General features: G+C 38.6%; 1 pseudogene; it reads right to left on the bottom strand.

The window, feature by feature from the left end:
- Positions 1–16,946, bottom strand: part of LOC124902904 (liprin-beta-1-like) — a 98,657-nt pseudogene that overhangs the window by 74,995 nt on the left and 6,716 nt on the right.

Raw genomic sequence — 16,946 nt, 5'->3', positions numbered from 1 at the left:
CTTTTGAATGTCTTTCATTATGCTTTCCATGTAGCATTGCTATTGAGTCCTTTATAGTGAATAACCCAATATGACTGAGAAATCATCAATTATGTGCAAGATTCTTTCCCTTAAAGGACTATTTGATTTAAGCCACAGTAGGTCATTCAGGCACAATCTAAAAGCCAGTCTGTTTTTATGGGCAGAATCAGGTGACCTGTTGTTGGTATTTACAAAATGTACACTAATAGCACTTTTTAAAAAGTTATTCTTAGAGTCGAAAGAAAATTAAGATATCTTAAGGAATAAAATAGAGCACATCTGTTGCCCTATACTTTTTTTTTGTTCTAATCAGCTATTCTATGTTCTAAATTTTGGAATAAGCAACAAAAGATTCATAATACAGAATTTGTAACAGGCAGACACCTACCATTTGACTTTGAAACCATTCAATTAGCATTTCTACTGTTGAATCTGGGAACTGGCAGCTCAAGTCTTCTTTCTCATCTGTTTCCATCATCTCTAATAATCCACGCAGGTCTTCCACAAGGTGCAGGGCTCACAAACTTCCCATGGATGGAGAGGTGGGAGATTGGCAACCAAAAATCCCACTGGAATATTCCAGGGCCTTAGAACCTAAGTTAAACAAAATCACAGAGAAAGCAATGGGATTTATGTTATATAAAACACCAAAGCTGAAGGTGGTAAACCAGTCTAGTCACAGTAAGGAACAATCAAAAGAAACAGAAAAAAGAAAATTCAATCACATAAATCTCTCCAAGTCAGATTTACGTGGTGTAAAAATTAAAACCATGTAGTTGATGGTAAATATCCATGGTCCAGTTCCCAACAAGGAGGCCAATCATGGGGTATAGAAAGAAGAAGAGCCGGGTGGGCTTTGGTGTGAGGTGTGCTGGCCTCGTGGAGATCATGAATAAGAAAGTGGCAGATCAGAAAATACAAATATTAGAGCTGGTCCATTCCGGACCAATACTGGAAATTCTGGCTTAGAAAAACTGTGGATGAAGGGTTATGAAATGAACTCAGATAAAGACTATTAGAGTAAATTCCAAGGAAAGACAATGAGCTCAATGTGTTAAATGATTATATTGATGTGCCTATAGGACATTTCCAGAGAGATATCTGGTTGGAAATTAGAGATAGGGACTGGAAGCTTAGCAAAGAATTGGGAAGGTAAATAAATGTGAATAAGCTGGGTGCAGTGGCATGTGCCTGTAATTGCAGGTACTTGAGGTGGGAAGATTGCTTGAGCACAGCATTTCAAGGCTGCACTATGCATGTTATTCACAGGCAATCATGCCTGTAAATAGCCACTGCACTCCAGCTTGAGAAACAGAGCAAGACCTCCACTCTTAAAAAAAAAAAAAAACAGACATGAGAGTCATTGGTGGAAAGTGAATTTTGAATTCAAGAAAACAGATCAGAACATTCATGTTCACTGGGTAGAGAAATGTCCCTCAAAGTGTGGTCCACAGACCACCTACACCAGAATCACCTGAGATGCAGATTCTTTTTCCTTGATTAGAAATCTAGGATGGAACTGGAATTTTTGATATTTTAAAATAATGTTTGAGAATAATGCTGGTAGAAAATGGAGAAGAGGAACAAAGATGAAATTACAGGGAAGCAAAAGGCATAGGGCTAAAAAATGAAAATAAAGTGAAAAGATAATATGAAAGTTGTAGTGAAAAAGCCAAATGAGCAGAGTAAATGTTGTGATTCTGTCTTTCACAGGACGCAGATCACCTGCTATGATACCATCCATCTGCTCCAACGTCGCAGCCAATATGTCACTTGCATCACTCATCATTTTCTTATTTGTCAGGGGCAAATTCCAACCCAGATCTGAAAAAAAAGTTATCATTACATCCATTAATGACATAGGCTTGCTAGTGGGTTTCCTAATTCACCTTCAAATGATAACTCTGCTGTGTAGTCAAATATGGAGCAAAAACTTCAGTAGTGGAGTAGCAAGCTGTGGCCAATCACCTACTGTAGCACAAGACCACATGCGATACCTATATCAGTTAATAAAGAAGATTCCATTCTTGCACTTGAGGTGTTTAAAATCCACTAGCATGGTTTCCATGCTGTTCTCTAGAACTCTAGACCTCTGTAAAGGGCAACAGGGATGGCCATGGAAGCTTGCTGAGGGCCATGACAAGCACTGGCCAGACAAGACTCCTTTCTCCCTTTACCAGCCTCACCCAATCTCTGTTCTCTTAATTTTGTTTTTTTTTTCTTTCTGTATAAGGGCTTAAGACTTGTCTAAGAAAAGGATTCACTAACACATATACTAAATGTACATATACACACAGACAAACACACACATACACCCCTACTGATACTAAACATTTTGTAGTGGAGCCATAGCTATCACATACTGAGTGCCTATAGTGTTTCCTACACATTTACATAAATTATCCATAATCCTTAGTCAACAGCTCTATAAAATGTGTAAATTCATCTCCATTTTATAAATGGGGATCAAAGATGTTTGATTTTTGCATGAAAACACAGGAAAGTAAATATAGCCAAATTCAGTTTCTAACCTGGGTCTGTCTGACTTCCACTATAATACATAATTTGTTTACCTGATCCTATGTGAAGATGAATTGAGGCTGAAATTATGTCACAATCTACACATTGGTTTACTGTTAAAAACTATACTGAGATAATGCTTGCAAAAAATTTGGTCATCGACAGGAAAAAGTCAAGACAATGTGATTTTCAACATTCACTAATGCATTTCAGGTACCAGACTAAGCACCCGAATAAAGCTCTTACTATGTTATAGATACTGTGATAGAGCAAACACCTGGGGAATAAAGGGCACATGCTGTTTCACAGAAACCTTTGCCCTCTGTTTCTAAGCAGCCAAATCTCACCACTTTATTTTCACAAATATATTTATAGTTCTCGTACCAGCTTCTTGGATGAGTTTCCAATTATGCATTCATTCTAACATAATGCCATATAATTGTTGTAAAATATTATTTTGATTTAAAGTCATTTCACCTAAGGATTTTCCAGAACTTTACTGACTTCCAAAGGTGAAAAATATCACCACCATTTATTGTGGAAATACTACAGCATGAAAATACTCAATTTATGTGTCTACAGTTACCCAGAAAACAAGGAATCAACAAGTTAGGTTATGAACCTAGGTCATTCTAAAAAATTTACTCACACACTCAGCCAGTGCACCATCCAAAGAAGTAGGACACACATTTAATAACCACACTCCAGTATGGGAAACTCAAAACATGAAAACTGAGAGCATAAAGGATCAAGCTGAATTACATAATTAAGTGGCTTGCATTCTCTTTCATTTAAAAAGTATTTTGCAGTTCCGTTCCAAGAAGGCCGAATAGGAACAGCTCTGTCTGCAGCTCCCAGCATGATCAATGCAGAAGACGGGTGATTTCTGCATTTCCAACTAAGGTACCTGGTTCATCTCATTGGGACTGGTTGGATAGTGGGTGCAGCCCATGGAGGGCGAGGCAAAGCAGGGCTGGGCATCGCCTCACCCGGGAAGTGCAAGAGGTCAGGGGATTTCCCTTTCCTAGCCAAGAGAAGCCATGACAGACTGTACCTGGAAAAACGGGACACTCTCGCACAAATACTGTGCTTTTCCCATGGTCTTAGCAACCGGCAGACCAGGAGATTCCCTCTCATACCTGGATTGGTGGGTCCCATGCCCACGGAGCCTTGCTCACTGGCTAGCAGCAGTCTGAGATTGACCTGCAAGGCTGTAGCCTGGCTGGGGGAGGGGCGTCTGCCATTGCTGAGGCTTGAGTAGGTAAACAAAAGTAGCCAAGGGAAGCTTGAACTGGGCAGAGCCCACTGCAGCTCAGCAAGGCCTACTGCCTCTATAGACTACACCCCTGGGGGCAGGGCATAGCTGAACAAAAGACAGCAGACTTCCACAGACTTAAACGTCCCTGTCTGAAAGCTCTGAAGAGAGCAGGGGCTCTCCCAGCATGGTGCTTGAGCTCTGAGAATGGACAGACTGCCTCCTCAAGTGGGTCGCTGACCCCCATGTAGCCTAACTGGAAGACATCTCCCAGTAGGAGCTGACAGACACCTCATACAGATGAGTGCCCCTCTGGGATGAAGCTTCCAGAGGAAGGATCAGGCACCAATATTTGCTGTTCTGCAATAATTGCAGTTCTGCAGCCTCTGCTGGTGATACCCAGGCAAACAGGGTCTGGAGTGGACCTCCAGCAAACTCCAACAGACCTGAAGCTGAGGGACCTGACTCTTAGAAGGAAAACTAACAAACAGAAAGGAATAGCATCAACATCAACAAAAAGGACATCTACACCAAAACACCATCTGTAGGTCACCAACATGAAAGACCAAAGGTAGATAAAACCACAAAGATGGGGAGAAACCAGAGCAGAAAAGCTGAAAATTCTAAAAACCAGAGCACCTCTTCTCCTCCAAAGGATCATAGCTCCTCGCCAGCAACAGAACAAAGAATGACTTTGACAAGTTGACAGAAATAGACTTCAGAAGGTTGGTAATAATAAACTTCTTTGAGCTAAAGGAACATGTTCTAACCCATCACAAAGAAGGTAAAAACCTTGAAAAAAGGTTAGATGAATGGCTAACTAGAATAAGGAGTGTAGGGAAGACCTTAAATGACCTGATGGAGCTGAAAACCATGGCATGAGAACTTTGTGATGGATGCATAAGCTTCAATAGCCAATTCCATCAAGTGGAAGGAAGGGTATCAGTGATTAAAGATCAAATTAATGAAATAAAGCAAGAAGACAAGTTTAGAGTTTTTTCTCTAAAAACTCTAAAGTAAAAAGAAACGAACAAAGTAAAAAGAAACAGAAAAGAAACTCTAAAGTAAAAAGAAACGAACAAAGCCTCCAAGAAATATGGGACTATGTGAAAAGACCAAATCTACGTTTGATTGGTGTACCTGAAAGTGATGGGGAGAATGGAGCCAAGTTGGAAAACACTCTGCAGGATACTATCCAGAAGAATTTCCCCAACCTAGCAAGGCAGGCCAACATTCAAATTCAGGAAATACAGAGAACACCACAAAAATACTCCTCGAGAAGAGCAACTCCAAGACACATAATTGTCAGATTCACCAAAGTTGAAATGAAGGAAAATATGTTAAGGGCAGCCAGAGAGAAAGGTCGGGTTACCCACAAAGGGAAGCCCATCAGACTAACAGCTGATCTCTCGGCAGAAACCCTACAAGCCAGAAGAGGGTGTGGGCCAATATTCAACATTCTTAAAGAAAAGAATTTTCAAGCCAGAATTTCATACCAGCCAAACTAAGCTTCATAAGTGAAGGAAAAATAAAATCCTTTACAGACAAGCAAATGCTGAGAGATTTTGTCACCACCAGGCATGCCTTACAAGAGCTCCTGAAGGAAGCACTAAACATGGAAAGGAACAACCAGTACCAGCCACTGCAAAAGCATGCCAAATTATAAAGACCATCAATGCTAGGAAGAAACTGCATCAATTAACGGGCAAAACAACCAGGGAACATCATAATGACAGGATCAAATTCCCACATAACAATATTAACCTTAAATGTAAATTGGCTAAATGCCCCAATTAGAAGACACAGACTGGCAAACTGGATAAAGAGTCAAGACCCATCAGTGTGCTGTATTCAGGAGACCCATCTCATGTGCCAAGACACACATAGGCTCAAAATAAAGGGATGGAGGAAGATCTACCAAGCAAATGGAAAGCAAAAAAAAAAGCAGGGGTTGCAATCCTAGTCTCTGATAAAACAGACTTTAAACCTACAAAGATCAAAAGAGACAAAGTAGGCCATTACATAATGGTAAACGGATCAACTCAACAAGAAGAGCTAACTATCCTAAATATATATGCACCCAACACAGGAGCACCCAGATTCATAAAGCAAGTTCTTAGAGACTTATAAAGAGACTTGGACTCCCACACAATAATAGTGGGAGACTTTAACACCCCACTGTCAACATTAGACAGATCAAGGAGACAGAAAGTTAAAAAGGATATCCAGGACTTCAGCTCTGCACCAAGAAGACCTAACAGACATCTACAGAACTCTCCACCACAAATCAACAGAATATACATTCTTCTCAGCACCACATTGCCCATATTCTAAAATTAATCACATAATTGGAAGTAAAGCACTCCTCAGCAAATGTAAAAGAACAGAAATCACAACAAACTGTCTCTCAGACCACAGTGCAATCAAACTAGAACTCAGGATTAAGAAACTCACTCAAAACTGCACAACTACAAGGAAGCTGAACAACTGGCTCCTGAATGACTACTGGGTAAATAACGAAATGAAGGCAGAAATGAAGATGTTCTTTGAAACCAATGAGAACAAAGACACAATGTACCAGAATCTCTGGGACACATTTAAAGCAGTGTGTAGAGGGAAATTTACAGCACTAAATGCCCAGAAGAGAAAGCAAGAAAGATCTAAAATTGACACTCTAACATCACAATTAAAAGAACTAGAGAAGCAAGAGAAAACAAATTCAAAAGCTAGCAGAAGGCAAGAAATAACTAAGAGCAGAGAAGAACCAAAGGAGATAAAGACATAAAAAACCCATCAAAAATCAATGAATCCAGGAGCTGGTTTTTTGAAAAGATCAACAAAATTGATAGACCACTGACCACTAGCAAGACTAATAAAGAAGAAAAGAGAGAATAATCAAATAGACGCAATAAAAAATGATAAAGGGGATATCACCACCGATCCCACAGAAATACAAACTACCATCAGAGCATGCTATAAACATCTCTATGCAAATAAACTAGAAAATCTAGAAGAAATGGATAAATTCCTCAACACATACACCCTCCCAAGACTAAACCAGGAAGAAGTTGAATCTCTGAATAGGCCAATAACAGGCTCTGAAATTGAGGCAATAATTAATAGCTTATCAACCAAAAAAAGTCCAGGACCAGATGGATTCACAGCCGAATTCTACCAGAGGTACACAGAAGAGCTGGTACCATTCCTTCTGAAATTATTTCAATCAATAGAAAAAGAGAGAGTCCTCCCTAACTCATTTTATGAGGCCAGCACCATCCTGATACCAAAGCCTGGCAGAAACACAACAAAAAAAGAGAATTTTAGACCAATATCCCTGATGAACATTGATGCAAAAATCCTCAATAAAATACTGGCAAACCGAATCCAGCAGTGCATCAAAAAGCTTATCTACCACTATCAAGTTGGCATCATCCCAGGGATGCAAGGCTGGTTCAACATATGCAAATCAATAAATGTAATCCATAACAAAAACAGAATCAACAACAAAAACCACATGATTATCTCAACAGATGCAGAAAAGGCCTTCGATAAAATTCAACAACGCTTCATGCTAAAAGTCTCAATAAACTAGATATTGATGGAACATATCTCAAAATAATAAGAGCTATTAATGACAAACACACAGCCAATATCATACTGAATGGGCAAAAACTGGAAGCATTTCCTTTGAAAACCGGCAGAAGACAAGGACGCCCTCTCTCACCACTCTTACTCAACATAGTGTTGGAAGTTCTGGCCAGAGCAATCAGGCAAGAGAAAGAAATAAAGGGTATTCAATTAGGAAAAGAGGAAGTCAAATTGTCCATGTTTGCAGATGACATGATTGTATATTTAGAAAACCCCATCGTCTCAGCCCAAAATCTCCTTAAGCTGATAAACAATTTCAGCAAAGTCTCAGGATACAAAATCAATGTGCAAAAATCACAAGCATTCCTATACACTAATAACAGACAGAGAGCCAAATCATGAGTGGACTCAGCATTTACAATTGCTAAAAAGAGAATAAAATACCTAGGAATTCAACTTACAAGGGATGTGAAGGACCTCTTCAAGAAGAACTACAAACCACTGCTCAATGAAATAAAAGAAGACACAAACAAATGGAAGAACATTCCATGCTCATGGATAGGAAGAATCAATATCATGAAAATGGACATACTGTCCAAGGTAATTTATAGATTCAATGCCATCCCCATCAAGCTACCAATGACTTTCTTCACAGAATTGGAAAAAAACTACTTTAAAGTTCATATGGAACCAAAAAAAGAGCCCGCATTGCCAAGACAATCCTAAGCAAAAAGAACAAAGCTGGAGACATCACTCTACCCGACTTCAAACTATACTACAAGGCTACAGTAACCAAAACAGCATGGTACTGGTACCAAAACAGAGATATAGACCAATGGAACAGAACAGAGGCCTCAGAAATAACACCACACACATACAACCATCTGATCTTTGGCAAACCTGACAAAAACAAGAAATGGGGAAAGGATTCCCTATTTAATAAATGGTGCTGGGAAAACTGGCTAGCCATATGTAGGAAGCTGAAACTGGATCCCTTCCTTACACCTTATACAAAAATTAATTCAAGATGGATTAAAGACTTAAATGTTAGACCTAAAACCATAAAAACCCTAGAAGAAAACCTAGGCAATACTATTCAGGACATAGGCATGGGTAAGGACTTCATGACTAAAACACCAAAAGCAATGGCAACAAAAGCCAAAATAGGCAAATGGGATCTAATTAAACTAAAGAGCTGCTGCACAGCAAAAGAAACTGCCATCAGACTGAACAGGCAACCTACAAAAGGGAGAAAATTTTTGCAATCTACCCATCTGACAAAGGGCTAATATCCCGACTCTACAAAGAACTTAAACAAATTTACAAGAAAAAAAAAACCCAATCAAAAAGTGAGCAAAGGATATGAACAGACACTTCTCAAAAGAAGACATTTATGCAGCCAACAGACACATGAAAAAACGCTCATCATTACTGATCAGAGAAATGCAAATCAAAACCACAATGAGATACCATCTCACACCAGTTAGAATGGTGATCACTAAAAAGTCAGGAAACAACAGACAATGGAGAGGATGTGGAGAAATAGGAATGCTTTTACACTATTGGTGGGAGTGTAAATTAGTTCAACCATTGTGGAAGACAGTGTGGCGATTCCTCAGGGATCTAGAACCAGAAATACTATTTGACCCAGTGATCCCATTACTGGGTATATACCCAAAGGATTATAAATCATGCTACTATAAAGACACATGCACACGTATGTTTAATGCAGCACTATTCACAATAGCAAAGACTTGGAACGAACCCAAATGTCCATCAATGATAGACTGGATTAAGCAAATGTGGCACATATACACCATGGAATACTATGCAGCCATAAAAAAGGATGAGTTCATGTCCTTTGCAGGGACATGGATGAAGCTGGAAACCATCGTTCTCAGCAAACTATCACTAGGACAGAAAACCAAACACTGCATGTTCTCACTCATAGGTGGGAACTGAACAATGAGAACACTTGGACATAGGGCGGGGAACATCACACACTGGGGCCTGTCGGGGGTGGGGGCCTGGGGGAGGGAGAGCATTAGGACAAATACCTCATGTAAATGACGAGTTGATGGGTGCAGCAAACCAACATGGCACATGTATACCTATGTAACAAACCTGCATGTTGTGCACATGTACCCTAGAACTTAAAGTATAATTTTAAAAAAGTATTTTGTATAGATACATTTATGTATGTGTATACATAAAACAAAGGGACACATACCAGGCTCAACTATAAACATGGGAATACCAATAACACAAAGTAATGCCCATATTAGAAATACATATCATCTCACTAAATTAGAAAAAAAATTCATCTTTGTTAGCAACTATATTTTGTGTAGAGCATGAACACTTTTTCAAGTCTGATAGGTATAATAGTTATCGAGTTCTTCTCTGTTCTGTTCAATGAGCCTTTCAAATGCTATTACATGAAGGTATGAGACAATCTACACCATGCTTTTCAAAGTAGTGAAGAACTAGTTCTTAAAAAAATTTCCAGTTCATTGGAGACCAATCCCATCATTTAATAAAAATATTATGACAATGTTTAAATTGCTTTGAAAGTTCAAAATGCTAACTCTTAATCTCTATATTTATCATGTAGCAACCTACATGCACCAGTAAGGGAAAGACAGTACATACAAGTAATAAACACGTATGTAACATGGCGAAGGTGGTAGGTGCTAAGAGGAAAAAATGGAGTAGGATAAGGGGGCCCAATTTGGAAGGCTTTCCAAATTAAACAGGTAGCCAGGTACTGGTGATAGAATCAAAGGCCAAAGATTTCTCTAATAAGTCAAAAGTAGTCAAATATAAGTGGTCCAGTTCAGTGGTATTCCAAGTGTAGAATTCCTAGAAATCAAGGAAAAAATGGGAGGCATGAGGATATGAACAATCATTTGGCAGAAGAAATGTTTTCAACCAATAAAAATATGAAGAGGTGCTTAATATCATTAATAAATGAGGAATCTAAAGGAATGTGATAATGTTTTATACCCAATTAGTGAAAAAAATTGACATAGCCAAGTGTTGTAGAGAATACGAATTCACGGAATCTTTACTTTTTGTTTATTTTTTGAGACAAGGTCTCACTATGTTGCCAGTTGGCTGGTCTTGAATACCTGGGCTCATACAACCCTCCAGCCTCAGCCTGGATTTTATCAGGCTGATTTTATCAGCCTGATAAAATCAGCTCAATTTTACTAAATCCAAAGGCAGTAATGAAGGAACAATAGACACACAGGAGAAAGAAAAATCAATAGCCAAGGTGGTAGACTTAAACTGAAGCATATAAATAATCGGATTAAGTATTGCATAAGTTGGAGCTAAGCCATGGGTATGCAAAGGCATACAGAGTGGTATAATGGACAGTGGAGACTCAGAAGCAGGGAGAGTGAGAGGGAGGTAAGGATGAAAAACTACCTATTAGGTACAATGTTCACTATTCAGGTGACAGGAGCCCTAAAATCTCAGACTTCCACTATACAATTCATCCATGTAACCAAAGCCACTTGTACCCCTAAAGCTACTAAAATAAAACAATTTTTTAAATAACTTTTAAAAATTACATTAAGTAAAAATGCAATAAACACTGATAAGAGCCAGAGATCATCAGATTAGTTTTTTAAGTCCTAATTACGTGCTGTTAATAGAGACTTTAAATATAAAGAAATATAATAGTAAAAGGATGAAAAATGAGATAACATACATATGTAAGCACAGGAAAGCAGGAGTGGGTATATTACGAAACTACAAATCAGGAAGTATGACTAGAAAGAAAGATATTTTACAATGATAAGTGTTAATTCATCAGGAAGTCATAACAAGCACAAATGTTTTTGCAACTAGTAATAGAACCTCCAAATACATGAAGCAAAAACTGATAGTGTTAAGGGAGAATTAGACAAATTTAATCCACTTATATTTAACATAATATAAATATGATTGACCTGGTTGGATTTAAATCTACTGATAAGGTTGGATTTAAGTCTATTGCCCTGCTATTTCTTTTCTGTTTGTCCCATCTATCACTTGTTCTTTTTCAACCTTCTTTTGAATTGACAGATATGGTAGGAAAAAAAACTCAGTAACACACAAGATTTGAAAATATTATCAACCATCTTGACCTAATTCAATTTATAGAACAGAACACCCAAAGGCAGAATATACATTCAAGTCTACACATTATATTCACCAGGATAAGGCATATACGCAAGGCCACAGAATCAGTTTCGATAAATTTCAAATGGGTTTTAAAGAACTACACAGAAGAATAAGAAACACACAACCTGATGTGGTGAAGTACTAAGAACAGACCGTCCATATTTATTAAAATTCTGCCTTGCCCGTGGTTTGAGCTATTTTAGAGGCAGCCTAATTTATTAGGCATCTGTGTTGATAAAGCTATGTTAATTTTCAGGGCTAGGTCAACGTATTTTTAAAAATGAAAAGGCTAAATAAAAAAGCTTTAGAAAATCCCCTGGTCTCTAAAAAGACTTTCTTAACTCTTCATAAATATTTCTGAGAGGAAGATTCCCTGGGCTTCCTCACATAATTAACACAATGAAATATCATTCTAATACGATGGAATATTATTCTACAGTAGAGAGATGGAACAAATAATACATGCAACATTATGTTGAGCAAAAGAAGCCAGACAGAAAGGACCATGTACTGTATGATACTTTTATATGAAATTCAAGAACAGGCAACCTATGATAGAAGGTAGAGCAATAATTACTTACAGAAAATGGTGAGTGACTGAAAGGAGACACCAGTGGAATTTCTGGTTAATATCTTGATTGAGATATAAGTTACACAAGTTTATACATTTGCCAATGTATAAACTTTGGCAATTGCTCATCAAACTATGCAATGGTCTTTAAAGCTTGTCAGGCATTAAGAATCCCAATGTCAATCCCATTTAAGTTCTTTATTTTAACTAGGAAGGAACCATTCATTGTTGGCTAAATATTGAAAGCATAAAATTCATTTAGAACTAAATTAATTGGGAATGCCTTTGAAACAGATGAATTAATAATACTGTTTAGCTTCTAACTGAGGCAGATGTAATTGGTGCCCTCTGTAATTCCATGCATGCCAGCCCAACTTTTAACTGTCCAAGATTTCAGGGAGCCCTCTGCCATTGCATGTGGTGATCTGAAAATGCCAGAGAATTAATGTCCCTTTAATATTTAAAGTTATCAGCTTTAAATATTCCAGCACACTTTCCCCCTAGAAAGAGCTAATTCTGATTCATGTAATCTACATTGGTTCCCAGAATTATCTAGACAATTAAGATCTACTCAGAGTGGTAACCTGTTTGATAATGCATCACTTATGAGTTATCTTCTTTATTTCTCTAAGTCTTTCCTAGGATTACTTTCCAAATAAAACTTTTGTATTTGAAAAATTAGGAAAGAGAAGTTGATGGTTAGAAATTAGAAATATAAATCCCATTTAAAAATGAACTAAATAAATAATAAATGAGGTCGGACATGCATGGACCTCTGCACCTTAGACTATAATGACAATATGTCACGAATCAAGGATCATGAATAATCCAATTATATGAACCTATGGTCCAAAATAAAAGGCTCAGAATATCCAGCTCCATTTCTTCCCATTATTTGCTTACCCAGAAACCTGCTAGTTATAACTGAGTCCTTTGGGTGGACAAACCACTTAGAAAATTACAACTTTGCCATCCAAGCCAGGCAAAGTGGCTCACACCTATAATCCTGCTACTGTGGGAGGCCAAGGCAGGAGGGTCGCTAGAGCCCAGGAGTTTGAGACCAGCCTGGGCCACATAGTGAGACCCTGTCTCTACAAAAAATAATACAAAATAAGCTGGGTGTGGTGGCATGTGCCTGTAGTCCCAGCTGCTCAGGAGGCTGAAGTGGGTGGATCACTTGAGCCCAGGAGCCCAAGGCTGCAGTGAGCTGTGATTGTGCCACTGCACTCCAGCCTGGGTGATAAAGACCCTGTCTCAATAAAAAGAAAAAAAAATTCCAAAGAACAAAAAATTTCACCATCCAGTAATTCTCACAAAGTACTAAATTTATTTCTGGATTCTAAGTGGCTAAGTGGCTAAGTGCTAAGTGGCTAAGTGCTAAGTGGATTCTAAGTGGCTAAGTGCTTCTTTGAATGACTTGCTAAAGAAAAAGGTACCAGGAAATACATTAATCACTACCACAACAAAGGAGTGAAGCTGGGGTTCAAAGTCATAGTTCGAACTGGAGAAGCCTCTTATTTGTTGGGTGATGTAAACAGAGAAATGAGCTCTGTTTGCAGGAGTTCTCAGGCTAGTGGTTTCTTATTCCAATGGCTTAATAAAAATAAATTTAGTAAAGTTTTAGATAAGCAAGTTATTGGAGGTAAGATTCAAATATTATAGTAAGAGACCAAAAAAAAAAAAAAAAGACCCAACAGAAGTATGTTTAGGGTATATTTCAGGTTTGGTCAGGAACTATTTAGAGCAGATTTGAATGGGGTGAAATATCAAGGAAAGTTCCAGGCATGGGTGTGATGGGTGTGGTGGCTAAAGCATTGGCAGGACACTGTAATTTTTTGCAGGGTTGCTGACTAACTGATGTCTTAGGTCAGGCTCGCTACCCAGAATTTCTGTGAAGAAAAGAAAGGCCATAAGAAAATCAGCAAGTTTCTTTCGAACTTTTGTGAGAATTACATCTGTCCTAGCTTTCTCAGCTTTCTTTAGGTAAAATGCTTGGGTTTGAAAGAGAACCCTGAACTTCTTACCCAAGATAGATACAATTCACTGAGACTAAGACACTTAGAAGAAATCTTCAGAAGAAGGGAGAATGTTCACATACATTCGACTAGGCTGGTAGAACGCCACAGTATTCTGTGGTCATTATGAAAATAGAGTATCTTTTCACACAAATTACTCATACATTTCTCAACAGTTTAGTTTTTAATTTTTTTTCCAGCAAGAAGCTGCTTCAGAAGGTTAATCAATTACACAATGATTGCCAATGTGTGCAGCAATACAATCTTAGCAAAGATAAACTATCTAAAAATCAGATCATATTTGGTAGCACAACAGGGTGAAAACTGTCAACAATAACTTACTGTACATTTATAAATAACTAAAAGAATATAATTGGAATGTCCATAACACAAAGAAATGATAGATGCTTGAGGTGACAGACACCCCATTTACCCTGATGTGATTATTACGTGATGTATGCCTGTATCAAAATATCTCATGTACCCCATAAAGACTCACACCTACTATGTACTCATAAAAATTAATTTAAAATAAAAAACAAAACAGATCAAAAGGGAGAAGCAGGCACTAATAGGTCTGTGTTTTGGAAAAACAGCATCACCTGTGAGCTAGTAAGAAATGCAAATGGTGGCTCATGCCTGTCAGCCCAGTACTTTGGGAGGCCAAGATGGGTGGATCACTTGAGGTCAGGAGTTTGACACAATCCTGGCCAACAAGGCCAAATCCTGTCTCTACTAAAAATACAAAAATTAGCCAGGTGTGGTGATGCACACCTGTAGTCCCAGCTACTTGGGAGGTTGAGGCAGGAGAATTGCTTGAACCCAGGAGGTGGAGGTTGCAGTGAGCCGAGATCACACCTCTCACCACCGCACTCCAGCCTGAGTGACAGAGCGAGACTCCGTCTCAAAAAAAAAAAAAAAGAAAAAGAAAAAGAAAAAAAAAGAAAGAAATGCAAATCCCTGGACCCCACCCTAGGTCTGCTGAATCAGAAACTTCAGGGGCAGGCCCAGCAATCTGTGTTTTTCCGAGCCCTCCCACTGGCTCTGAGGCGCACTCAATCACTAGACTCACACACACTGAGGCCTTTCCTCCTTGGGACAAAAAGCCCTGCCCAGATGAGGTGGAAATTGGCTACCAAAGTAAAAAATAAGGGTAGAATTCCTCTCCCCACACCTCAGTTTCTTACTTTTGATCCCAAAATAACAGCTCTGAAGAAGCCATTCAGGTTTTAATTCAAAAAATCTCTCCCTTTAAACCTCAACCACTATAGGTTCATATGTCTGCAACATTTTAGAGATTCTTAAATACAACCCTCCTTGTTTTCTGGTTCTCTGCTATGTATCTGTCATCACATACTTTTTTCCTCCCCACTCTATTAGCCCAAACCCTTCTCACCACCAATCTGCTCCAACATCCCTAGAAAATTAATTCAGAATCACTTGGAAAGGGCAAAACGAGGGCAGGGGAAGTGATGAAACCGGAAAAGGTCAGGAGTGTTGGCAGCAGGGGCGATACCTAATGTTACAACACACATTTTTTTTAATGGGGTTTGGCTGTATTACCCAGGCTAGCCTTAAACTCCTGGGCTCAAGTGATCCTCCCAACTCAGCCTCCTCAGGAGGCTTCAAACTGTAAAATAAGGCCAGGCACAGTGGCTTACCCCTGTAATCCCAGCACTTTGGGAGGCCGATGCGGGCAGATCATTTGAGGTCAGGAGTCCGAGATCAGCCTGGTTAACATAGTGAAACCCCATCTCTACAAAAAACACAAAAATTAGCCAGGCGTGGTGGCGTGCACCTGTAGTCTTAGCTACTTAGGACGCTGAAGCAGAAGAATCACTTGAACCTGGAAGGCAGAGATTGCAGTGAGCCGAGATAGTGCCACTGCACTCCAGCCTGGGTAACACAGCAAGAAAAAAAAAAAAAACTATAAAATAAGTTTAGAGTGGATGGTATAACTGGAAACTTGAACAGCATGTATTTGATATTAAGGAATTACTGTCATTCTAAGGTTATTAATAATGCTATTATAACTTATCTTTGTTGAGTCCTTATTTTTTAGAGCCAAGTAGCAAAATACTCATAGATGAAATAATATATTTCGAATTTGTTTTAAAATAAAATAGAAGAAAATAGGGTAAAGATATTGATAAAACAAGATTAGCCATAAGTTGATAATTGTTGAAAATGGGTGATGGTATTTGAGGGTACACTATACTATCTATCTATACATATATTTTTTGAAACAGAGTCTCATTCTATCGCCCAGGCTGTAGTGCAGTGGTGCAAACATGGCTCACTGCAGCCTTAACTTCTCCAGGCTCAAGCAATACCCCCATCTCAGCCTCCCAAGTAGCTGGGGCTACCACACCTGGCTAATTTTTGTATTTTTTGTAGAGACAGGGTTTCGCCATGTTGCCCAGGCTGGTCTTGAACTCTTGGGTTCAAGCGATACGCTCACCTCAGCCTCCCAAGTACTGGGAATACAAGTGTGAGCCACTGCACCCAGCTGGGTATTCTATCTATGTTTTTATATATTTGAAGCTTTCCATAATAAAACATTTCCATTTTTATCCATATATTTAAACCATAAAATTTTCAAACACCTTCAACCATGATATATTGTCTTAGATATTTTATTTCTCTACCATAACCTCAAGCATACTAAGGGCTCACCAAATATTTATAAACCAAATAACACAATACTTGTTATTTTAACCACCCTCACAAACACAAACACACACATGCACACGCACATTCAGAAAATGAAACACCTGCTCACAGAGGATTATAAGGCAGAGTA

This window comes from Homo sapiens, chromosome 12 (genome assembly GCF_000001405.40).
Source record: "Homo sapiens chromosome 12, GRCh38.p14 Primary Assembly".
NCBI classification, from domain to species: Eukaryota; Metazoa; Chordata; class Mammalia; order Primates; family Hominidae; genus Homo; species Homo sapiens.
Note: the sequence above shows the minus strand (reverse complement) of the source record. Positions and strands in the feature narration are given on the sequence as shown.